The sequence below is a fragment of the Homo sapiens genome, chromosome 3, assembly GCF_000001405.40.
Source record: "Homo sapiens chromosome 3, GRCh38.p14 Primary Assembly".
Taxonomy (NCBI): domain Eukaryota; kingdom Metazoa; phylum Chordata; class Mammalia; order Primates; family Hominidae; genus Homo; species Homo sapiens.
This window is the reverse complement of record NC_000003.12, coordinates 30,783,752-30,810,951: the sequence shown is the minus strand read 5'-3', so window position 1 is coordinate 30,810,951 and position 27,200 is coordinate 30,783,752. Positions and strand designations below refer to the sequence as shown.

The following is a 27,200-nucleotide window of genomic DNA, read 5'->3' as shown; positions in this document are numbered from 1 at the left end:
AGTTCATAGCTGGTAATGCGTAAACCACTATCAAGAAGGCTGGTGTGTTTCCAGCCCCACCCTTGTAGCAGGAGGGGGAGGGACTTCCTTCCCCCTCCCCCTCTCATTTTGCGTGGAAGGCTGCTATTTCCTTTGCGCATTTTGCTGTGAGACTACTGTGGGTGACTGGGAGAGAGAGTAGCTAGGATGACAAGCGAGAAGAAAGGCGAGCCAGAGGAGGGTGCGGCCAAGAGAGGACTGGGGGCTCATGGGAGGGACCTGGGGAGTATTGCCCACTGCACAAACATGCCCTTTCCTGCCCTTCTGCCTTGAGCTGGACACAGGGCTGTAGGATCTCTTTGATAACTTATTACGTAAAGCAATATACACAGTGGGAAAGTGAGGATTTTGAACCACCACAAAAACGTCAAATGTATTAAGGAAAGAAGCAACTGACCTCAGCTTTGTAAAGCAACTTAAGAATTTTTAAGAGCATATCAACCAAAGGGCCAAAGGTGGAAGACAAACACAGATCTCTCTCTCTATATATATATCTCTATATCTACCTATGTATCTGTCTGTCTATATATATCATGTAACTTTTCTTTCATAGTCTCATGAATTGAAATGCTGATGTTTTCTCAAAGAACACATTTTCACAGATAGCTGTGAAGTTAAAAGCATTATATCAATTAACTGAAGCGAGAGGAAATCACATTTCGTGGGAAACCTAGCACACAGCACCCAGAAACTTTCTGGAAACGGCTTGAACCAGGCAGACCATCAAGCCAGTTTGTGAAAGGGCTGATAGCACACAGTTTTTGAGAAACTGGAGATCAAAATAAACTCGAGGAAAGGAGATGTCAAAATGGCAAGACAACAAGCTCAAACATGTCACTATATGGCAGAAGAGAACAGGGCAGACTGTTCACCAGAACAGAAATTCAATCACAAGCACCTCATGTATCAGCAAACTTCATTACATAGCTTATAAACTTCAGAATATTTGAGAAAATATTAGAGCAAGATTGTTGTCTCCTTATAGCCTCATGCTCCTTAAATTGAAATAAGACAAAAAATATGTATATATCCCCACAGAATATGCATAGAGACCCTTCTTGCAGTATGAATGTTATGCAATGATTTTTTGGAGGAAAAGGTGTGTTTAAAAATTTCACTTTTTGTTAATATATACTTGTAATAAATCCAAGTAATATAAAAATATGAACTTAAATGAAAGTTCTCTACAATCCCACCTCTAAACTATTAAAACAAGTATCAGCAAACTTCTGTACAAAACATCTTCCAGAAAGTACAAGAGATCATGGGAAGGAAGTGAGAATTGGAGAACAAATTGAGGATTTGAGTGGAGATTGATCTATAGGTGATACCAGTGATTGGAAAATGCTTGACTGGAATGGGAAAGATAGCTGAGTCAATATCAAAAAATGATTCAGAACTGGTAATAGAAGCAAGCGTTTATATCATGATTTGAACCTCCTACATTGAAACATCCAATGGAGCACAATGTGTCTGCCTCTTGAATTAGCCTCTCAAATTGCAGATGAAAAGGCAAATAGGAATTCAGATTTGATGGTAAATTCAAAAAATAATTGTGACCCTTTATAAAAAATAAGTTCTCTCTCCAAGCTGTATGCAAACCGGATGATTTTAAATATTTTCTACTCTGACAAAGAATGAAAAATCTACAGCAGAAAGAAAATGAACTAACTAAATAAATCCAAGTAAAGAAATGAATTAAAGACATGCCATAGGAAAAAATGCAAGATGTTTATTTGAAGATGTCAGAAATGAAAGAATACCTGCTTTGGATTATAGGTGAACATAAATACAGCAAAATGCAGAAATATTGTGAGTAGACACTCAGGAAATGAGTCCTGGCTGGTTAAAGTTGAAGGCAAATTCCCAATTATAAGTGAATAGCTCTTACAGTAGAGTTGAGTATATGAAGCACACTCTCCACCACCGTTTAGTCACTGTGCATGAGACTGGGAAAACAGAGGTTACACAGAAGAACAGACACAGGAGAGTGAGGTGAACATAAGTGCAAAGATGGTGAGTTTTCGAATTATTTTGATGACCTGCTCTCATTCTTATCATAGGACTTGTAACATGTTGTATACATTTGAAAGCCAGAAAGAGGGAATATTTATAACAGTGAGGGAAGAAAAAAGAGAAAGATAAAAGTAGTGGGTGGACTTGCATTTAGAGAAATGAAGAGAGGGTTATTTTTCCCACTTGCTAACTTCATACATCAGCATTTTAGACAAAAAAGGCAAAAGATTCATAAAAGTAGTGGGCTAATGTAAGAATCTGTATGTTAGATGACATCCAAATAGTCTGCTGGTTTCCACAAGCTCAAAATGCACCCATTTACACAGACGCTTTGTATTGACCTATACTTTAGCACTTGAAATCTCACATTTGAATGATATCCTCATTTTTTTTTTTTTTGAGATAGAGTCCTGCTCTGTCGCCCAGGCCAGCGTGCAGTAACGCTGTCTCAGCTCACTGCAACCTCTGCCTCCCAGGTTCAAGCGATTCTCCTGCCTCAGCCTCCCAAGTAGCTAGGATTACAGGCATGCAACCACCATGCCCAGTTAATTTTTGTATTTTTAGTAGAGATGGGGTTTCAACCATGTTGGTCAGGCTGGTCTCCAACTCCTGACCTCAAGTGATCTGCCCACCTCGGCCTCCCAAAGTGCTGGGATTACAGGCGTAGGCCACTGGGCCCGGCCGGTTCATCCTTTGCTTCTCTCTTCCTTTTTCCACCTCTCTGCCCTGCCATTCCCTCGCTCTTTCCCTCCCCTCCTCCTTTTTCTTCCTTCTCAGACTATTCATGGCCCAACCTAATACACTGACCTTTTACATGGGTCAGTCTGATTTGCTTCCTTTTGGGAAAAACACTTTTATTTCCCCCCCGAAGGGGTCTCTCTCTGTTGCCCAGGCTGGAGTGCAGTGGCACAATCTCGGCTCACTGCAATCTCCACCTCCCGGGTTCAAACGATTCTTCTGCCTCAGCCTCCCGAGTAGCTGGGACTACAGTCATGTGCCACCATACCTGCCTGATTTTTGTATTTTTAGTAGAGATGGTGTTTCGCCATGTTGGCCAGGCTGCTCTCAAACTCCTGACCTCCAGTGATCTGCCCGACTCAGCCTCCCAAAGTGCTGGGATTACAGGCATGAGCCACTACTGCACCCGGCCGCACATTCACTATTGTCCTCTGCTTACTCTCTTCCATCCCCCACACCAACTACACAGGAGTTAACCATTTTTCCCTCTTTGCTTAAGGAAACTGGAGAAAACTCAAGTTACACCTGGCCATTTGATGGCTCCTTAGCTCTCAAGTCCACCTAGCATCCCTACCCTGGGTCATTCTTATTTTATGTGATACCTTTAGAGTGTTCCATTTAAACTACACTGAGACTTGTAAAGACCCACAGCATCTACCAAGGACATCAAGTATGGGAGCTTAATTAAGTCAGGATCCATTCCATTTGAAGGATGTAGAGCATTGATAACTTCCTATTGCTTTAAGATTTCTTGTAATATTTTCGTCAACTCAGCCTACTTCTATAACTGTATAACTGGCAAATACATTCCATTAAAAAGGAAGGTGGGTGAGGGTTGTAATATGTTCATTTCATAAACAGTGGGGAAGTCTAGAGCTGATGTTCTGTTCTGTAGCTTGCCTGGGGAAATAAAGTAAACCAAAGGAAGAACAGGCAGTGACAGCTGGGAGGGGTCAGGGGATACTGGAATGTTCGAGAAGAGGAAGAGTGGTGGGTAAGATTTTTGGCTTAAGACTAAAGAGTATTCCCAGTTAACATTAGTTCCTTTGATTTTCATAATACTTATGTATGATGGGTAGAACAAGTAACAGCATTTTCATTAGGCCAATGAGAAAAATGAAGCCCAAGATGTTAAGTGACAGGCTTTGAGCTCTGACACCAAGTAACTAAATCAAAAGCAGAATTCACATCTGCTGATTCTCACTTTATTCTGCCAGATTAGTAATGAAGTTTTAAGTTGTAATATCTGTAGGAGCCTTGGAAGATTCCATCACTAATCATTCTTATTGTGGCATTTAAGATGCGTGGTGACTTGGCTACTCTAGATTTCTAGCCTGAACTCTCCAGCTATGGCCCACCTCCTTAATTAGCTCCAGTTGTACTCAATTAGTTCTGTTCTCTCATCTGTCCAGCTGTCCCTCACTTTTCAGCTCTCAGCTTCTTCTGAAAAGCCATCTCTCACACCTCTAAGGTGGTGAATATGACCCTCGTTTGTGCTCTGTTGTGCCTTGTTCTTCCTCCTATTCTAGCACTGGACAGTAGTGGCTTGTTTTTTCTGCTCCTATTCCCATCTGAAATGCCTTAAGGATGGTGACTTTTTTATTTACCATTACATCTCCAGTGCTTAGCACAGCTTTCAGCCTATATTAAGGTACCCAAATATTTGATCAATAAAGAAAGCCAATATCAGATGGCATAATCATTTTAAAAGTTCACTTTTATATTTTAGATTACAGCCAAGTCTTTTATTTGCAACCTAAATTTGATTTTGCACATTACGCCAACAAATATTAACCCAGACACTTAGCACCTTCATGGGCTTGTATACCGAGGCTCCTGGCATGATAGTGCTTGTTATATAATAGGTCCTCAATACATAATTTTTAGATGAATTATTAAAAGATGATTAATATTCCTATTTTCTAAGTCATTTAGACCATTTTTTTTGCATGTAAATATGGTGACATAGGACAGAATATAGGAAGGGCCATACGGGAAGAGCTTTTGGTAGCTTTTCTTTGATGAGCTGAAAAACATCATTGCAAGGAGGAAATACAAAGGTTTGTTGTTGTGGACAGCAAGGATCCTCCCACCCAGGCCACAGACCTGTACCGGTTCATGGCCTGTTAGGAACCGGGCCACACAGCAGGAGGTGAGTGGTAGGTGAGCAAGCATTACCACCTGAGCTCCTCCTCCCGCAAGATCAGTCTTGGCATTAGATTCTCATAGGAGTGCAAACTATTGTGAACCGTGCGTAAGAGGGATCTAGGTCACGTGATTCTTATGAGACTCTAATGCCTGATTTGAGGTAGAACTGTTTCTTCCTGAAACCATCTCCCCCACACCACACCCCACATCTGTGGAAAAACTGTCTCCCATGAGCACTGGTCCCTGGTGCCCAAAAAAAAAAAAAAAAAAAAAAAAGGCTGGGGACTGCTGGTGCACAGAATCCTGACTTAGTAGACCCATGGGATCACTGACCAAAAAGAGACCGCAGATTCTGATCTGGCCTATAGAAATCAAAGATGGCTTGGCTAATCTTGGTCAGGAGAATATACAACCTACGGATTCATTCTTTCACATAATGAGTGAATATTTTCCATAATGTTACCAGATTCACAAGTATTCATAAAGATCTCAAAATGCTTTAAAAACAGGATATTACTGGTGCTAAGACCAGAGGTCATGTTTATAGGAAAAAATAAGAGTTTGAAACAGGATCTTAGTTATTTTGACCTCTAGCTCAGTGTTCTCTCTTCTGCCATTTTCCTTTTCACCAGCCTCTCCAAATGGAGCACCCTCTTTCACACGTATTTAAGTGCCCACTGTTGATGCAATAAAGTATAATAGGTTAGCGTTCAGGCCCTGAATCTAAGCATTTTTGGTTTGAAACCTAGCCCTATCATGTAGTAGCTACATGAACTTAGGTAATTAACTTGCTGTGTTGCAAAATGTACAATGGAGTTGACAAAAATAGAATTTATCTCACTGGGTTGTGAAATTTAAGTGAGTTATTACATATGAAGTGTCTGGAAAATAGTAAGAGCTCAATAAATGTTAGCTCTGGTCATTATTATGTGCGCTAGGTTAGGTGTTGTGATTGCAAAGAGGGAAAGTAAAAGTTGTGGTTTCTGTGCTTGTCATTGGCTTCTCTTTACTGTATAATCCAATCCATTCTTTATTTCCTCTGCTTTGCGCTGCAAAAGGTCCAGACTCCTAAAAGCCATATTCTCCAGGCTCTTTTGCCAATTGGCTTCCTGCTAGGTTTGGTCACAAAAAGGTTCATATAAGATAGTGAGGTTAGGAGGCCAAGAGTCTCTCTCTACATGGGTAATGTTAAAGAAAACCAGAACCAGACAGTAAAGTAGTAAAAACAGACTTTGTTCAGGAACTACTGCAATGAGGAAGATAGACCTCAGTATAACCGGATTCACTTCTGAATATAGCATGGACAAGTAGGGATTCATAGCCAAGGGGCAGGTTGGGAGTCAGTGGGTGGAAAATGACTAAGAAAACATTAGAAATAAAAGGATACAGGTTAGACATCTAACAAGATTCTTGCTGAAGGCAGGCTAGAATAGTCAGATAAGTAAGAAGGATGAAGAATTTGGTCAGATAAAGGGAGATATCGGGGTGGGGGATTCTTTCCAAACTGACTAGCAAGATTCTTGCTACAATAGGGTGATGCATTTACAGAAAGATAAATGTCAAGGTGGAGACCTAGAGGACGCAGACTAAGTAACTAAATGTTAGTCAAAAACAGAATCTTTGTTAGTAGCACCACCAGCAGAAGTTGTCTCTTTGTCATTTCCTGTCTTCAAACAGAGCCTCCTCTCCATGCTCACAGATTCTACCTGGAAGCTTTGGTTTTCAGGCTTCCTACCAGCTTTCCATATGTAGGGAGTGAGGCCAATATAGGCTACAATAGAACAAGATGAAAGGACATATTCCTGATGATGGATATTACTTAGTACCGGATTCAACTGTGCCTGAAGATTATATATGACTAGATTTTTAAATATACAAAAGCCTATAAAAATACTCCCTCCTTTTGCTTAAACCTCATTTGCCACTGTACAAGTCCTAATACAATGTCTACTAATCCGCTGAGGAGAGTTGAATTAATATCAATATAAAGCAATTTGTCTTTTCATTGGATACTTGTCTCTGAAAGCCATGTTACTAATATTTATTGTCCTGCTAGGATTAAGAGTATGAAGATGAGCAAGATAAATATGGTGCTTCTCTTTGATAGCACAATAATAACTATTTTCAACAATGTTACGTTTTACTATACTTATTCTAAAATGTTTTCTCTGGACATCTGAGCATCTTCTCTTAGTTGATGTCTTAAAACTAAAGGACATCTCATCCATTTTAATACAAGGACATAAACTAAAATGCAAAGTGAAATCTTTGGGAGGAAAGTTTATTTTTGATAAAGTAAATCCCAAGCCTCCAGTTGTTCTTTAGGAAACCTTCCCAAGGCAGAATTTTTTAGTGCCATAAAATTAACTGTCACTATTGCAGGACAATTGTTTATTCTGCTATTTGCTTTCTTGGCTCTCTTGTTCTCCACTTGCTTATGATGATACAATTTGTCTTCTGATAATGGATGAGCGTCCTCTCCCTTTCAATCACTACCATAGGCCCCTAAAACTTGCTCAAGAAATGTCCAAAGTTCGTTTGCTTTGGGGATTTTTAATCTTTCATGGTTGGTGACAGTAAATTTATAATCATAATGCAAGTGTGTGTGCCTGTGTCGTGAACATGTGTGCATGATTTGTCCTTAAAGTACATGCAGTGGCCTTTTAGTGTTATAATATATGGTCAGTGTAGTTGCTATGGAAACAACCAAATTTCCTGACTTTTGAGGGCAGGGAGATGCAGCAGTGGCAACTGTGATCAGAGGAGAGATATTGATGATAAAATCTAAGACTTAAAAGTAAGGGATTTTTCTACTTTAGTGTTCAGGTCAGAGCAATCTGCTCTTTCCCTGTATCTCTCAAGAATACCCATCAGAACCAGGCTGAAGGCATACTAATATTTATTTTTCTTATTATTCTAGAGACAGGGTCCCACTGTGTTGCGTAGGCTGGTGAGCTGTGGTGTGCTCACAGCTCACTGCAGCTTCGACCTCATGGGCTCAAGTGATCTTCCCACTTCAGGCATACGCCACAACCACAGGCACATGCCACCATGCCCAACTAATTTTTATGTTTGTAGAGATGGGGTCTCACTATGTTGCCCAGGCTTGTATCAAACGGCTGGCCTCAGGTGATCCTCTTGCCTCAGCCCTCCAAAGCGTTGGGATTACAGGTGTGAGCCACAGTGCCCAGCCTTATCAGTTTTATACTCAGTTTATTGTGGATACTGGATGAGGGGCATATTGTAATTCTTGGTTATATTTGGTATATAATTTCTCTGTAGTATAAAATCATACTTTTTTGTAATAGAATATATTTAGATCCAGAGTAGTATCTACACAAGACAATGTTGCTTACATTAAGTCAGCAAACTTATGCTTTCATTTGAAATGTGATATCTTGAGATTTCCTTTTCATTCAGCTAATTAGCACAAGCTGATTAGTCAAATGAAGCACATTTAATACATTCTCTGATCAGAAGGAAACATTTTCTAGGACCGCCATGTCTACTGAGAAGCTTTTTTGTAGCTTCCTGTACAGCACTAGTAGTTTTGCATTGTTAAAGTTTGGAAAATTCACCAAATGAGAAGCTCATCCAACTGTGTTTATTCTATTCATACCACATGTCAGGGCATTGAGAGTGGAATCATTGTCTTGATAGCTTAATGAGAGTGCTCTGTGCCCAGCACAGTGTTAAACTGCATGGATGTAACAATGGATAGGAAATGATTCCTGCTCCCAAGAACCTGCTTGACCACACAAGGAGAGAATATAGGTAGTGACTGCTCATTGCATGCGGAAAGCACAGGACCAAGGCCAACAAATGCAGCCAAATACCAGTTACTCCTTTGAGCCCAAGGAGATGGGCAGATGAAGCTGAAGGGGAAGAAAAAGTTGAGATGGGACCTGATAGCAGGGCAGACCTGGGAAAGAAGGCAGGCTATGTTTAGTGTCAGTAAACTTCGCAGCTTATAAGTAGACTGCATATATTCTTTTGAAAGTGTCAAGTATCATAATAAAATAGAGAGTTAGATTCAAGCAAATGGTATAAGACAAGACATAGATGAGACAGGATGTAGTGGTTCAAGGACATTGAGTACATTGGCTCCACTGAGGAGCATAAGGATCTAAAATATTTTGGGGGAGTTGTCAGGGCTGTAAATGATTGATTAGGAAATCTTGGCTTTTGTAGACACTAGATGACATTGAAGACAACATGGCTTCAACTTTAATGATTTGAGGTCGAGGCAAAGGCCCTATAATCGTGATGAATAGTAAATTATCACCCATTTCTTAATGATAACAAGTCAGTAAATGCAAATGGAATTTGGTTGCAAATAAAACCAGCATGAGACAAACACAAAAGGCCCTGTGGGATTATAGCTGATGTTCTGTGGTAGTGAAAACTTGTTGGCTCTTGTTTACCTCTTCCATAGCTCTTTCACTGGGTTTTTATCCCTGAGTTATGTTGGGTCTAGCCTTTTCAAATGAATATGAAGGAGAGAAGGTCTTAAAACCTAGTTTTTTTGCTTATGAAATTGTATAACATATGTAAATATGTCAGTTTTTTTTTTCTGGCCAATGGAGAGCACTTTGAGTTATAGACAGTTTTATTCACACTGAAAAACTGGGCCACCTTGATGTCATAATGATAATGACATGGTCTTCTCAGCTTCTCAATACTCAGTAAAATTGTGAAGATGGATTTTAGCATTGTCAACTCTGAAGTTTTGTTTGGTAACACCATGGGTAATGTGTATCTGAAAGTCAATGTACACTGATTGTGTCTGATGTAAGGCAGTCAAAGTGAGATGTACACTTGGCACAGGTAGAATATACACATTGTGTGTGTACATGTGTTTGCTTTCAAAATCAAGTTATATTCTAAAGTTTAACAGTCTTGTAATCTTTTCTTTTTCGAAGGATCTTCTTAAAAAATGCTACTCTGCCAAGGCATCTTACCTCTTCCAGCAGGATAAATTCTATGATGTGAGCTATGACACAGGAGACAAGTCTATCCAGTGTAGCAGAAGACCAGATGCATTCAAGTTCTGGATGACCTGGAAGGCCCTGGGTACATTAGGCCTTGAAGAAAGAGTTAATCGTGCTCTTGCTTTATCTAGGTACTAGCCTCTCTCTCTCTCTCTCTCTCTCTCTTTCTGTGTGTGTGTGTGTGTGTGTGTGTGTGTGTGTGTGTGTGTGTGTCTATCTGTGTCTGTAATAGGAAGACCTAAGGAAAGTAATACTTGAAATGTGTTGCAAGTACATGTTTTCATTTGTGCATTATTTCATCCAATACACATTTTCTCAGTACCTACTAAGTGTTAGGAATTATGAACAGAGCAGTCCTATCACCTCCCTCCAAGATCCTAGCCTACTGAGATGCACAAATGACCCTCATTTTTGGCAAGGTGAGGTATAGAGTCCAAGATCAATCAGGAGGGCTTCTCTAGTGTGTTCTTGAGGCACACTGGCAGAGGCTCCTTGGAGGAAGTGACTTTCAACTGAGATCTAATGAAGAGAAGGTGGTATTGTTTGACTCTGTGTCCCCACCCAGATCTCATCTTGAATTGTATTCCCGTAATTCCCAGGTGTTGTGGGAGGGACCTGGTGGGAAATAATTTGAATTATGGGGGCTATTTTCCCCATACTGCACTGATAGTGAATAAGTCTCACAAGATCTGATGGTTTTATCAGGGGTTTCTACTTTTGCATTCTTCCTCGTTTTCTCTTGCTGCTGCCATGCAAGAAGTGCCTTTCGGCTTCCGCCATGAATTGAGGCCTCCCCAGCCATGTGGAACTGTAAGTCCAATTAAACCTTTTTCTTCCCAGTCTTGGGTATGTATTTATCAGCAGCATGAAAACAGACTAATATGGTAAATTAGTACCAGTAGAATGGGGTGCTGCTGAAAAGATACCCAAAAATGTGGAAGCGACTTTGGAACTGGGTAACAGGCAGAGGTTGAAATAGTTTGAAGGGCTCAGAAGAAGACAGGAAAATTCAGAACTTCCTAGAGACTTGTTGAATGGCTTTGACAAAAATGCTGATAGTGATACGAACAATAAGGTCCAGGCTGAGGTAGTCTCAGATGGAGATGAGGAACTTGTTGGGAACTGGAGCAAAGTTGACTCTTGTTACGTTTTAGCAAACAGACTGGCGGCATTTTGCCCCTGTCCTAGAGATTTGTGGAACTTTGAACTTGAGAGAGATGATTTATGGTATCTGATGGAAGAAATTTTTAAGCAGCAAAGCATTCAAGAGGTGACTTGGATGCCATTAAAAGCATTCCCTTTTAAAAGGGAAACAGCATCAAAGTTCAGAAAATTTTCAGCCTGACGATGCAGTAGAAAAAACCCATTTTTTGAGGAGAAATTCAAGCTAGCTGCAGAAATTTGCCTAAGTAACAAGGAGCTGAATGATAATCCTCAAGACAATAGGGAAAATGTCTCCAGGGCATGTCATAGGTCTTCATGGCAGTCCCTCCCATCAGACCCAGAAGCCTAGGAGGAATAAATGATTTCATGGGCCTGGGGACACACAGGGTCCCCAAGCTGTGTGCAGCCTACAGACTTGGTGCCCTGCATCCCAGCTGCTCCAGCCATTGCTAAAAGGGGCCAAGGTGCAGCTCAGCCCATGGTTTCAGAGGGTGCAAGCCCCAAACCTTAGCAGCTTCCATGTGGTGTTGAGCATGTGGGCACACAAGTCAAGAATTGAGGTTTGGGAACCTCCACCTAAATTTCAGAAGAGGTATGGAAACCCCTGGATGCCCAGATAAAAGTTTGCTGCAGGGGAGGGGGCCCTCATGGAGACCCTCTGCTAGGGCAGTGTGGAAGGGAAATGTGGGGTCAGAGCCCCCACACAGAGTCCCTACTGGGGCACTGCCTAGTGGAGCTATGAGACAAAGGCCACCATCTTCCAGACCCCAGAATGGTAGGTCCACTGACAGCTTACACTGTGTGCCAGCATGTGAAAGCAGCCATGATGGGGGCTATACCCTGCAAAGCCACAGGGGTGGAGCTGCCAAAGGCTATGGGAACCCACCTCTTGCATCAGCGTGACCCAGATATGAGACATGGAGTCAAAGGAGATCATTTTGGAACTTTAGAATTTGACTGCCCTGCTGGAATTCAGACTTGCATGGGTCCTGTAACCCCTTTGTTTTGACCAATTTCTCCCATTTGGAATGGCTGTATTTACCCAATATCTGTATCCCCATTGTATCTAGGAAGTTACTAGCCTGCTTTTGACCTTACAGGTTCGTAGGCAGAAGAGACTTGCCTTGTCTCAGATGAAACCTTGGACTGTGGACTTTTGGGTTAATGCTAGAATGAGTTAAGACTTTAGGGGACTGTTGGGAAGGTGTGATTGGTTTTGAAATGTGAGCACGTGAGATTTGGAGGGGCAAGGGGCAGAATGACATAGTTTGGCTCTGTGTCCTCACCCAAATCTCATCTTGAATTCTACTCCCATAATTCCCAGATGTTGTGGGCGGGACGCAGTGGGAGATAATATGAATCATGGGGGTGGTTTCCCCCATACTGCTGTCATGGTAGTGCATAAGTCTCACAAGCTCTGATGGTTTTATCAGGGGTTTCTGCTTTTGCGTTTCTTTTTCTCTTGCCACTTCCACGTAAGAAGTGCCTTTTGCCTCCCACCATGATTCTGAGGCCTCCTCCAGCCTCAGGGAACTGTGGAACTATAAGTTCAATTAAACCTTTTTCTTCCCAGTCTCGGGTATGTCTTTATCAGCAGCGTGAAAACAGACTAAAACAGAAGGGGAGAAGAATGACCCAAGTGGAAGGAGCAGCAGGCCCAAGTCTCTGGATGTGAGGTGACACAAAAGTCTGGATGTGACATTAAGGACCTGAAAAGCAAATGATCTGTGAGTTGTGGCGGCAGCTTAAGTCTCGAAGGGAAAGGCAGTGTGGAAGCACCATGTTTACTTGCCTTGTAGTAAACATTAGAAATAAAATTGTTGTCACACTTTCAAGAACATTAGAAAAGCTCAAGATATAGGTGCCAGACATTGCTACTTGAATAGGACTGAACTGCTAAACTTAGATCAGTGGTGGACAGGCCATAGCCAAATTTAGTTTTAAATGTGTTTTGTTGAGCTTATACTGTTCAAGGTTAACTTTCATGGTGTTAAACATTCAAACATTTCAATATTTGAAATGCTTTTAAAAAAATAAATTTATAAAAAACCTGGATTTTTTGCTTTTCTCAAAGCTTAGAATGCTCTCAATCCCACATGGTAACAACTAGCTGAACATGATGATGCCTGACTCTGGAAAAACACAGTCCCTATCATTTCTTACAGTTTAAAAAACAAAAAAAAAACAAAAACAAAACAAAACAAAACGCAAAAAACAAATCTAGCCTAATAGCATAGAGGTACAGACAACCTGGATTCAAGACCTAAATCCTGTGTGACTGGGGCAAGTTTCTTAGTCTCTCTGCACCTCAGTTTTGTCCCAGGAAAGTGATAATAACACGTATCTCAAACAGTTACTGTAAAGATTAAAGGAATTGATACATGTAGAACACTTAGATCAATGCCTGGGATGTCCTACATGCTATTTAAGTTTTAGTTATTATTTACTTAACTGCTTGGAAAATCATGTAGGACCTTCTTAGAGATTTATAGCAATTTCTTCTTTCTATACTGGGAGTAGTGTGGGTATTCTGAGCAACAAGCTGTCTGAATGTGTTAAAACAACAATTGTTTTCCCCCTAGAGGTCTAAATGTTGGCTAGCATGACTTTATACTTTATATCATATCACAGCAGCTGGGGTGTTTGAGTCTACTCGCCACGTCTTTCATATTCCTTGATCAGCATACTAGCCAGCGCATTCTTGAGATGGCCATGACAGAAGGCCAAGAAGGCAAACCAATTATGTAAGCCCACTTTAAACTCCTGATTGTATTATATCTGTAGCTGATTGCGTTATAATACTCCTTTGGTCAAAGAAAATCATATGGCTAAACCCAATGTGAGGAGGTGGGAAGTGCCCTCTGCCTTTTAGCAGGAAGAATTGCAAAGTTACATAGCAAAGGGCTTGGATATAAGGACAGGTAAACACATGGCTTTGGCATTTTCAGAAGACTTTTAGAAGTCAGTAATTCTGGTGATTATGGGTATGAAGTAGTTTGAAAAACCTGTGAATACTATATGAGGACTCTCGGTAGTAAGCGATGGAAACATTAACTCAAGGTATTATAAACAAAGGTAATTTAAGGCTTTTAAGACTAGTGTAGTGATGACTTTCAGAAGGCTTGGTCTAGGTGCTTCAACAGTATCAGCAGTCCTCAGTCTCTCTGCATCTTTCAGTTCTGCTTTCCTTCAGGTTGGGTTTATTCCTATGGAGGAAGATGGATGCAAAGAGTGTCAGATCTATATTCTTTCGGGTTCAAGTTTAAGATCAAAAAGATAAAGTACTCCTCTCTCAACAATCCCGAGGAAAGTTTAATTATTTGAGAGTGAAGTAAATATCCATCTCTGAATCAGTCATGGTTTCCAGGGCAATGTGATGCTCTCAGTAGTAACGATGATTCACCTGCTCTCTCTCGGCACTGGGGAGTGTGTCAATTCTTCTTATAGAATGTGTACTGATCCTAGATGAAGGTACCTTTGTTAGAGATAGGGTTGAAGTGCTTCTATTAGAAGTGGGGAGATAACCCAGTGGTGAAAAAACAAGACAGTCTACGGTCTACCATAAATTATTTATAGCTGCTCACTAAATTAGAAGTCCAGGAAGCTCTGTTCCCTTTTTGTGGATTTTCTTGCACTATTTAAATGGGGTAGAATCTCTGCATTATTTTGTCTAAGCTTTGAAATAATTCAATGGGAGGTGTCTTGAAATAAGGTTATAGATATTTTATGATTGTATTTATTATAAAGTTAACATTCATCTCAGGGTGGAATTTAGTTTACAGTCTAAGAATACTTTCTAATTTCTGCAGAGAAATATCACAGGAGGATAAATGTTAACATTTCAATTCAATTCAACAAACACTTATTGTTTGTAAATGTTTGTCAAGTTGAATTGAATTAACATTTTAGTGAGCATTGCTGCAGACTGTGACCTATGTTTAAGTATTTGAAAAATAATCCCTCCTCTTTCCTGCTGTTACTCATAATAGTTTTTTTGCCTTAACTTTCCACACTCTTGATATCCAACAGTCTATTCCTGGGGTGGGCAAAAGTCTACCTCCAATGCCAAGGAAAAGGGCAGAGTACTTTGAGGCATGTAATTTGGTATGAATGTGAAATTATAAAACTTGGAAAGAGTTTCTCTAGAATTAAGATTTATAGTAAATTAGCAACAGAAGGGCTTTATTTTCATGATTTCTTTCTTTTCAAATTACTGATTCATTTGTAGTTCTGCTTTTTAGGAAAGATAGAATATTTTTCTCAATTCTGGGGTCTATTCTGTTTGCTTAAGCCTATATGCAGTGGTATGGCAGTAAATTTTCTTTCAGAAGTTAAAGAAAGCCCCAGTTTGTAGTGTCTGCCAATTTTCATGGTGTAAATATTTCTGTCATAGCAAATTGCAAGCTACCAATGGTTGTAGTTGAGGAAATTCCTGAATATTTAACAGTGGACTCTCAACCACTACAAAGTAGCTCTAGAACACCACTGGTTCTGTGAGTCATAATCTTAACTCTTCCAGCTATAATCGTAACTCTTTCAGTCTTCTAACCATGTGCATAATGTGAAGTAGCATAATCTGTTCAAACCACCGACAGGGTCAAGATATTTCCCATGAAGCCCACTGATGCCCAGCAACTTGCTTCAGAGTTTACCAAATCAAAAGCATTTCACCCATGGTTGGAAGGCTCCACCTGGAATAATTCTAAGTTACAGAAACATTGTTTTGTTTCCAAGAAGCGTAACTTCTTTCAGTAGATAACTCCAGCAAAGTAAAGCTGCACGTGATGATTGTTTTAGTATTTGAGGAGCACGTTATTGGCAGGCTCTTATAGCTAAAATATCCACTTCCCTAGGCCCTAGGGTCAGGTCTCTAAAATACTGGAAAAGCTGTGCAACTCTTTTCCTTTGATAATGATACAGGAAGAATTACACTGATTCCATAGAAATAATGTTTCCATGTTCCTGAATCTAAATGGAGCTTAACTTTGAAGTTTTTATATTGACTAAGATTTAAGGATGAGATTTTGATAGACCAATGATCACTGCACCGATCAGATAGCCCTCTTCATATTCCCCTGGGAAAGTAAGAGCAGACACTTTCAGGAGGACAATGATTCCAATTTTATGGGTTGTCAGAAATTTAGCAAGGAAAAATTTAGTGCCTAGGAGACCTCTAAGGCTTTTCCTAATTTCCATTTGACCCTGTCAACCCAATTGAAGAGAGAACATTTCTCCCAGAAAATATTAATTACTAAAATGCTTTTGTTTTTCTTTGGTTCGAAAATCAGTGACACTGAGAGCCTAAAGCAACATGTGATTACTGGGCATAATTGAAACCCAGGGGGCTCAGGTTTAAAACTACCACTATGGCACAAAGCCAGTGACTGTACATTTCTGATATCTGCCTAGGAAAGTAAAAAATGTTTTACTATACAAGGTTACCTGTTGCTGAGGGCACCTTCTAGGCCTTTGTTATGGCATTCAGGTTAAATGGATATCCACTAAGGGATTTTTCAAGCAGGCTAGAAGAGTCATGTCTAAGTCTTTTCAACAACAAACAGCTCAGGAACTCCCACTCTGCTACTTTGTTTGGTCTCCAGAGTATCATTTATCTATCTATTCCCTTGACACACAATCTCTGCAATCTCTCAAATGGAAATCATTTCATAGACTTGCATGGATACCGAGGGGTGTATTGTTATCAGTATGGAAAAGGTGAGCAGTTACACAATGGTGCTTTTGTGCCAGTGTATTTCTCTAGGTGATGGGAGGTACAGAGTCTGGAAGACTAGGGAACAGTCTTTGTTTTCATTTTATCTTTATATTGGTGATCTTTTTAAAAGTTACAATTACAGTAGAATAGAGCACGTGGGTGTCTGTGATGAATTCCACAAGTCATGTGACATGTGCTGATCTATGCAGAGCATACGGAAAGCAGATGGAAAAATCTCAGGAGTTCTGGGAGGCTCAATGCATCAGAAGAGATTTCAAATGAGAAGATGAGACTAGGAGAGAAACTTGGTCCAAAATGGTTCAGGGAGGCGCTAAGCGGCTGCTGAAGTAAGAAAGGGACTGGAGAGGCTATTTGCAGAGAGGAAAGAATGTCTTGCAAAAGGACAAGAAAAATAAAAACAAAGGGGGAGATTTATATAACCCAATCAGAACTGAGATTCTTTGTAAGGAAGAAAAATTGTTTTGCAGCAAGTTTATCATTAATGCATATGCCAAGATCAAGCCAGAATACTAATATGTTCTTACCCCACAGTAGGATTGGTGAAAACTCAATATGTATTTTTTTCTCTCTTTTATGCCAAGGTTAGTGGAAAGGACAAAGAGTTTCATGAAGTTATTACTGCTTTTCGAGTCCACTTACTTGAATGCCTTTTGATAGTAGTTTATGGTTTCTGCATTATGTCCCCAAACTGAACGTACTTTTTTTCCGGCTTGCACCATGTATAAGATTAGTTTATTAAATGTATTTTGTCTTTAGGCTGTTTTCATATATTGAAAAAAAAGTTACGAGGAATAAGTCATCCCTAGAAACATAAGCAGAGGTGACTTAAAACATTTTGGCTTTCCTTCCAACAACACATTTCATTTAAGCATTTATTTAAGAAGAGGATAGGGTACTTTTTAGTAGAAACACTTATAAACCAGCATTTGTGAAAGTATGCTGTGGCCAGTAGACTTCCAAGAGATCTTAATAGATCATCCCTCAAAAAATAGTTCCATGGTTAAATGTGTCTGGGAGATGCTAACTACTATATTATTCCTCTCCTAGAGATTCGAAGTACTCATTAGGATATTTAAAACTTTGAGAGGGCCTGTAATATAGAAGCATTTTTTAACTTTAATCAATATGCAGACACTGTTGATTTGCTCACCAAGGACCATTCTCTCTTGCCTGTAGAACCTTGATTTTGTTCACGTAGCAATGTTCAATCTGGGAACATTGGTTTAGTCAGCCATCTTCCCCAATTATTAGTTTAGGGGAGGGTATGTGGCTCAGTCAACAAGATACTGTGAAGACTTCTGGGGAAAATATTCTTACCTAAATAGAACTTAAAGTGCTTTTGCTATAGCCCCCTCTGCTCTTCGGACACTGCTGTATAAGGATGGGACATATGGAGCTGTAGCAGCTGTCTTGTGAACATGAGAGGAAACCTCCCTAACACAGAGCATGGCTAGCTGAAATTAAATAACTGGTTCCTGATATTATTGAACAATCCAACCAGCTTGACAAATGGCCTTATGAATTAAGGCAAGTATAGTTTTCTGTTGGAGAAGATCTTGCTCTGTCACCTAGGCTAGAGTGCAGTGGTACAATTATGGTTCACTGCAACCTCCACCTCCCAGGCTCAAGTGATCCTCCTTCCTACCTCAGCCTCCTGAGTAGCTGGGACCACGGATGTACACTTCTACACCCGGCTAATTTTTGTATTCTTTGTAGAGATGGGGTTTCACCATGTTGCCCAGGCTGGTCTTGAACTCCTGGACTCAAACAATCTGCCCACCTCAGCCTCCCACAGTGCTAGGATTATAGGCATAAGCCACCATGCCTGGCCAAGTGTACTTCTAAGCATAGACAAAAATCAATCTAATTGATATGCCTAGCAGTGTTCAAACTTATTTGATAGTGGGACTTTTTATGTGGAAAACCTATTAAGGTGGTATACCACGGATCACAGTTTGAAAACTCTGGTGTAAGACCTTTGTTATAGTAATAGCTGCATCTCCTCTTGCCTCAAAATCACCTCTACTTTCAACTCAGCTGGAGTGTTACACTGGGTGTATCAGTCCGTTCTCATGCTGCTAGTAAAGACATACCTGAGACTGGGCAATTTATAAAGAAAAAGAGGTTCAGTGGGCTCACAGTTCCATGTGGCTGGGGAGGCCTCACAATCATGGCAGAAGGTGAAAGGGGAGCAAAGGCACATCTTACATGGCAGCAGGTAAGAGCATCTGCAGGGGAACTGCCCTTTATTAAACCATCAGATCCTGAGAGACTTATTCACTGTCATGAAAACAGCATGAGAAAACCCACCCACATGATTCAATTACCTCCTACCAGGTCCCTCCCATGACCCATGGGGATTATGGGAGCTACAATTCAAGATGACGTTTGAGTGAGGACACAGCCAAACCATATCACTGGGCTTTACAGGCTCTGAAAGTGACTGCGATAGGAACATTACCCCAACACAAAGCCCAGATCTACATGGTTAGCAAAAAGAGTTTTAACAGAAATAATTCAGCTCTGTTTTAGGATGCCTTTCCTCTAGGAGCACATTTAGCCAGTTTGACAAGCATTTTAAAATGATACTATGGTTAATACATGCAAGTTTTGTGTAGCCATAACTTGTAAGGGAAGGATTTTACCAATTTTTTTGTACATCTTTACGTGCATGAGGAAGTGGAGGCAGGCTCAGGAAGGCTTAGGAATTTGCCTAGACTCACAAAGTTATTTAGCTGCACAATTAGAATCTTCTAAAGTTATTCCCAAGATTTCTGGAGAAAGCTTTCTTCATAGGCTCAGTTCAGGATGAAATCATAACAAGCTTTTGAGTTAACAGATTGCCAGTACATTTGTGCCTGAAAAGGGAGAAAAAGGATGGTTCACAAAGCTTTTCTCCTATAGGTAGGAAGTATATTCATCTATTTGTTTTGTATTTTTAAGTTCTTTTTCAAAAACTATATAAGTAACCACATGTATGAAACTTTGAAAGGAGATATAAAAAGGGAATGGAAAACCACACACCCTCATTGCATCTTGTTTCCCCCTCCCTCAGGTAAACAATTTATGACGTATCCTTCCATACTTTGTATATACATGTGGATAGAGATTTAAAAAAAAAAAGTGTAAAAATTGAATCAAATCATCCCCATTTCTCAGAACCTCACTTTTATCTTTTACTAATTTATCATGATCATCCTGTGCTTTAAGTGGATATAATTCATTCATTTTAATAGCTGCATATTACATTATGTTGCTATAGTCCGCATTTTAATTCCCTACTTATGAATATTAATCTTGTTTCTAGTTATTTTGTATGGAATATACCTATATACCCACAGTACAGACATTTAGATAGTACATATAAATATATGTGCACATATATGCTGTTATATCTATCCTTGATATTGATAACTTTTTTCTTTGTAGACCAGCATTTCAAAACTGGTTTGCTTGATAAGATATGAGTATTACTTAAAAGGTTTATAGCAACTTTCTATCATATTCTTACCACCACTGGATGTTGTCACTCTAAAATTTATTTCTGGTATCATTGGGAAACATGGTTAATACAGGAAATACTTCATTTTATGTGCTTAACCTTATTTTCCAGATATTGTGTTTTGGGGGTTTTGTTGTTTTTACAAATTGAGGGCTTGTGGTAATCCTGCATGGAGCAAGTCTATCAAGTGCCATTTTCCCAACAGCATGTGCTCACTTCATATGTCTGTGTTATGTTTTGGTAATTCTCATAATAAAAATGTTTGAGTCATCAGTTCTGTTTGATGTTACTGTTGTAAATTGTTCTGGGGCTCCATAGAATGCACCCATAGAAGCTGGAAAACTTAATATTGAGTGTGTTCTGACTGCTGTCCAACTGGCCATTCCCATCTCTCTCCTCTTCAGGCTTTCCAATTTCCTGAGACACAGCAATATCAAAATTAGGCCAACTAATAACTCTACAATGGCCTGAGTGTTCAAATGAAAGGAAGAGTCACATGTCTGTCACTTCAAATAATCTAGAAATGGTTAAAGCTTAGTGAGGATGGCATGCCAAAAGCCAAGACAGACAAAGTTAGGCCTCTTTTGCCAAATAGCCAAGTTATGAATGCAAAGGAAAAGTTCTTGAGGGAAATTAGAGGTTCTACTTTAGTGAATACATGAATAATAAGAAAGCGAAACAACTTTATTGCTGCTATGAAGGTTGTAGAGTTCTGGATAGATCAAAGCAGGCATGACATTGCCTTAAGCCAAAGCCCAATTCAGAGCAAGACCCTAACTTTCTCCAGTTCTATGAAGGCTGAGAGAGGTGTGGAAGATGAATAAGGAAAGTTGGAAGCTAGCAGAGGTTGGTTCATGAGGTTCGAGTGCAGAAGCTGTCTCATAACATAAAAGTGCAAGTTGAAGCAGCAAATGCTCATGGAGAAACTGAGCAAGTTATGCTGAAGATCTAGCTAAGATCACTGAAGAATGTGGCTACATTAAACAGGTTTTCAATGTAGGCAAATCAGTCTTATATTGGAAGAAGCTGCCACCTATGAGTTTCATGACCAGAGGGAAGTCAATGCCCGTCTTCAAAGCTTCAAAGACAGGCTGAATCTATTGTTAGGAGCTAATGCAGCTGGTGACTTTAGGTTGAAGTCAATGCTCATTTACCATTCTGAAAATTCTAAGACTCTTCAGATTTACGCTAAACTTACTCTGCCTGTACTCTAAGTGGAACAAAGCCTGTGACAGCACATCTCTTTATGGCATGGTTTACTGAATATTTGAAGCCCACTGTTGAGACTTGAGACTTACTGCTCAGAAAAAAAGATTCTTTTCAAAATATTACTGCTCATTGACAACGCACCTAGTAACTCAAGAGCTCTGATGGAGATGTACAAGGAGATTAATATTGTTTCCATGCTTGCTAACACAACATTCATTTTACAGCTCATGGATCAAGGAGTAATTTAGACTTTCAAGTCTTATTTAAGAAATGTGTTTTGTAAGGCTATAGCCGTGATATCAGTGATTCCTCTGATAGATCTGGGCAAAGTGAATTGAAAATTTTATGGGTTTACCCTTTTATACACCACTGAAAACACTGATGACTCATAGGAGCTCAAAATACTAATAATGGGGATTTAGAATAAGTTAATTCCAACTCTCATGGTTGACTTTTAGGGGTATAAGACTTCAGGGAAGGAAGTCACTGAAGATGTGGTGAAAACAGCAAGAGAAATAGAATTAGAAATGAAGCCCAAAGATGTGACTGAATTGCTGCAGTCTCATGATAAAACTTGAATGGATGAGGAGCCTCTTCCTATGGATGAGCAAAGAAAGTGGTTTCATGAGAAGAAATCTACTCAGTGAGCATGTTGTGAATATTGTTGAAAGGATAACAAAGGATATAGAATATTACATAAACTTAGTTGGCAAAGCAGCAGCAAGGTTTGAAAGGATTGACTAATTTTGAAAGAAGTTCTGTTGTGGGTAAGATGCTTTCAAACAGCATTGCCTACTACAGAGAAATCTTTTGTGAAAGCAGAGTCAGGCAATGTGGCAAACTTCATTGTTGCCTTATTGTAAGAAATTGTCCCAGCCACCCCGACCTTCAGCCTTTTGATCAGTCAGCAACCAACATCAAGGCAAGACCCTCCAGCAGCAAAAAGATTACAACTCACTGAAGTCTCAGATAATCCTTAGCGCTTTTTAGCAATAAGGTATTTTTAGTCACGGCATGTGCATTGTGTTTTAGACATAATGCCATTGTAAACTCAGACTACAGTATACTGTAAATGTAACCTTTATATACACTGAGGAACTTTCCTGCAGCATTCACTTTATTGTAGTGTTCTGGAACCAAACCTACAATACCCCCGAGGGATGCCTATATTGTTTTAATTTGCACTTCTTTGATTATTACTGATTTTGAATAACTTTTCTGATATCTGTTGAGCAATGGAATTGCTTTTTATGAAAGCTAGCCAGTGTGATAGATGGTTTAAAAACTTTATAGCTACATGTCTTCTGAAAAAGTGTTCAGAGAATGGCATATGTAGAACATCTGGTACTTTGTGAGCATACGTGCCCATGTGTATGCTCACGTTATCGCTCAAGGATTCCCATATTACTAGTTAATATTGACAATTTTTAATACAATTGCATATAGATAATATCTTTGAAATATACAAACATCAATATTTTAATATAAAAAGCTGTATAAATTTGCAAAAAGGAACATCTTAAAAACTAGTGTATTCCATATTCACATTATAGAATGGCCTTCCTAAAATGACGTAATAATCCCTTTCCAGTTTTTATAGTCTGCATTTATGTTTATTATTTTAAAAAACCATTTCAAATTGAAGAAGATTGTATTAGTCCAGTTTTACAGGTAAGAGACTTGAGGCCCAAGAGGAGCATGGTTGTGTCTTTAAATATTAGTTGAATATTTATGATTTAGTGACATGATCATAGGATCATAACTATTACTGGAATCTAGTTTTCAAAGGCATTCCTGATGTTCGGTGTGATTTTTTGCTATTATATATAAAAATCACAATAAATGCTCTGACAAACACATTTCTGTCAGCGTCTCTATTATTTCCTTATGTTTGAGTCCTAGATTTGAAGTACTGGGTCAAGTGTTGTGAATATTTCAAAGGCTCGTGAATCACTAGTTTTCAAGGCCAGCCATTTCAGACTTCTCTTTTGGTACAGACAAAAGCCAAGCCTAGAAGAGAGGAGTCAATATTATATAGGGCACCATGTTCTCAATGTTGTTTTAGTCTTTTCTCACTCATATTCCATATTTCATCTATGCCCTTTACTTAGGTGTGACAATTCTCTTTCCCCCAACATTCAAAATGACTTTATAGATATTATATCAATGGCTACAGCCCACTTTTTTCCCCTCATATTCAGGTAATTTTTTTTCTTGTATTTTTTAAGTTTTGGGGTACATGCGCAGGATGTGCAGGTTACCTAGGTAAACATGTACCACGGTTGGCTGCACTTAACCCACCACCCAGGTATTAAGCCCCACATGCATTAGCTCTTTTCCCTAATACTCTCCCCTCATCCTCCCCTGACAGGCCCTAGTGTGTGTTGCTCCCCTCCCTGTGTCCATGTGTTCTCACTGTTCAGCTCCCACTTATAAGCAAGAACATGCAGTGTTTGGTTTTCTGTTTCTGTGTTAGTTTGCTGAGGATAATCAGCCTACTTTTAACATGATACTGATTATCAGTCCTCCTCTCTGTGCTGGACTTAGAAAAGATTATGTTGATCTTTCTTGATTTTAAGTGAACTTACAAGCAGGATTAGACACCAAAAACAAAACAAAACAAAACAAAAAACTCTTTCCTCCAAGCCAGCTATTTAATGTAAGTACCTATGGTTAAATCCCCCATTTACAGTATGAATGTAAGACCCACATGTTCAGAGATATATATCCAGCCTGCTTTATCTGGCTTTTCACACCAGGGTTAAAGCCTGATGCTAACATGTGAGATAGATATCATCATCAAAAAGATGCATCCTTTTACTCAGGCCAAGGAAATTACAGTAGGTCTGGAGTATTTATCTATCCATAGCTCTGCCTGTTCCTTGACCTTTATCTGTATCTTTCTTATCTCCAAGCCCTGTCTGAATCAGTTTTGTCATATCAGTCATGTTCATGACACTTTTACATTGCAGATTATAAATATTATTGTGACTTTTAATTTTAGGTACCTAGTAGATGAAATCAAGAAAAGAGAAGGATTCAAGTTACTGATGGAAGTAAGTGATTGCATAATTGTGCTTGTGATTTTGTCAGTTAACAGTGATGAAGGTGGTAATTTTCTTATCTGTTATATGTTTCATTGGTTTTTGTGTTGCAGAGTTAAAAACAAGTCATTAGCTTAATTCATAGTCTATTATGTTAATTTACTCTATTAGTGAGTACTTTTCCTTTGTTGGATTCACAGAATATACTTGCCTTTAAGTATTGAAAATTAAAATGCTCAATAATAATTACCAAGGATAATATTGAATAAATTATGACCTCTATCTTGGTATATAAATTGCATGATTGTACTGCAAATATTCATCTGTGATGTAGTGGTGCCTGCATGTGAAAAATCAATTAAGTGAATGTACAGTACTGCATACAGTTTTCTCTTTTTATAAAATAATGAGCATATTAGCTTTGGAGCAATGGGAAAATAAGTCATTTTGCTGATGTTGGATTGTTTGCTATGTGTAAGAAATTAGGTGGTTACAAATGTAGAGAATATTTTTTTCTAAAACATGTTTAGAAAATATAAATATTTAATGTGTAATTCTGGTTTTTAAGAAATATAAATTGCAAACTTCTTAGATTTTGTTATAGTATATGTATTATAGCAGTTTTTAACCTAATGTAAAAATAACCTAGAGATTCCAGTCTTGGAACCTGTGCTATACATAAGAAATGTAGCTGGCTAGGCACAGTGGCTCACGCCTGTAATTCCAGCACTTTGAGAGGCCAAGGCAGGCATCACAAGGTGAGGAGTTCGAGACCAGCCTAACATGGTGAAACCCTGTCTCTACTAAAAATACAAAAATTAGTCGAGCGTGGTGGCTCATGCTTGTAATCCCAGCTACTCGGGAGGCTGAGGCAGGAGAATTGCTTAAACCTGGGAGGCGGTGGTTGCGGTGAGCTATCGCGCCATTGCACTCCAGCCTGGGCAACAAGAGTGAAACTCTGTCTCGGGGGGAAAAAAAAAAAAAGAAAAAGAAATCTAGCTTTTTTGGTATTTATTCAATAAGATGCATTGAACAATTACTATGTCATGCATGGTTCTAGGCACAGGAGATAGAAAACAGAAAAGGTCCCCCAATTTCATGTTTACATTCAAGTGGAAACTGAAAGGCACTAATTAAGCAAATTAATTAACAGGGAAATCAGGTAGTCTTAAAACAATAAAACATGTTCATGAGATAATCTAGTATACAAATAATTAGACAGGTTATAGATATAGTACTGTACTGGGGGGAAAAGTGTAGAATGCTGAAATGGGGACGGCTTATTTGGTTTGAGTAATCTGGGTAGGGGATTTTAAGGTTATCTTTGAGCTGAGACCTGAATAAAGATAAACAGCAAGCCATGCGGATGTTTGAGGGACAGATATTCTGGCAGAATTGGTAAACAACTGCAAGGCTTAAAGCTGAAGAGAGTTCTGTCTTTGAGCAGCCAAAAAAAGTTGTATTGAATGAAGGGGAGTGTGCAGCAGGTGATGGAATTGCAGAGGTGGGCAGAGACCAGAGCAGGTGGTGGTCAGGTAAGTCAAGGTGAGGCCTTTAGCCTGTATCCCGAATGTAGTCACTGGAGATGTTTTAAGAAGACAGGAGTCTGACTTGCATGTTAAAAGATTATTCTTGATGTCATGAGAAGAGAGGAATGTTGAAAAAGCAATAGTGAAGAGGACAAGAGAAAAATAAGCAAGACAAACTTGGAAACTGTTTTTAGTAGCCAAAGTGAAATATGACAATAGTCCTCAGGGAAGTTTGGGAAATACTTTCCAGAGAATCTAGAGCATGGATTCCCCTAGTATCTACAAAGGAAGCATCAGACTAGAAAGTTCTAAGCTTCCAAAGTGCTAGAAAGCTAGACATATGGAAGATCTTGCATGCATACCAAAATGATTAAAAATTAAACAACTTTCTGGTAGTACTATAAAGACAACAAATTTAGAGTGCGAGAAGTTCTGCAGAACAACCTGGTTTCTTTCAACAGGCCGGTGATGTGAGGAAAACAGAGGGAGTAGTGATAATCTCTTTAGGTTCAAAGAGACCGAAGAGGCATAACCAAATAAGGCATATGGACCTTGTTGAAATCCCAGTTTGAACAAGCCAACTGTAAAAAGTAATTCTTGTAACAGTTGGGGAGTTTTGAATATGAACTGGCTATTAGATGGTGTCAAGGAATTGTCAATTTTGTGAGGCATAATGGCATTATAAACATGTAAGAAAATGTCTATAGTTTTTAGTGGTGGATAGCTAAGCATGTATGGGAGAAACAGCAGTCCTATTTGAATTGAGTTTGATCACTTTATATTTTCTCGGGTTTGAGTTTCCTCTATTTTCTCAATTTGAGTTGTGTTATTTTCTCTGGTGTTGGGAGCTATAGTGCTTATGAAAAGTCCTATACACCTTGAAACTGTACAGTCTTTTGACAGAGCTGGAAGTGATGAGAAAAAAGATGGGCCGATTAAAAAGTTCTTTATATATTCTTCCTAAAGTCTTAGAAAAGAAAAACCACTTACCATCGTCATTAGGAAATTGCAAACACTCATGTCCTTGCAATGAAAGCTAAGGTGGGATTTTAGTCAGCCTTCTGCCCCTGGATTTTTTCATCTGTG

The 27,200-nt window shown here is 39.3% G+C and overlaps 1 protein-coding gene and 1 pseudogene across 3 annotated transcripts in view; both read left to right on the top strand.

Annotated features, from left to right (window-relative positions):
• Positions 1 to 27,200, top strand: part of GADL1 (glutamate decarboxylase like 1) — a 168,465-nt gene that overhangs the window by 83,710 nt on the left and 57,555 nt on the right. For all 3 annotated transcript variants that reach the window (NM_207359.3, XM_017006297.2, XM_047448071.1), the window contains exons 12-13: positions 9,864 to 10,063; positions 24,546 to 24,597. In NM_207359.3, the coding sequence (NP_997242.2) occupies positions 9,864 to 10,063; positions 24,546 to 24,597 (252 nt within the window). The remainder of the gene's footprint in view (positions 1 to 9,863; positions 10,064 to 24,545; positions 24,598 to 27,200) is intronic.
• On the top strand, positions 1,256 to 2,274 carry FNBP1P2 (formin binding protein 1 pseudogene 2; annotated as a pseudogene).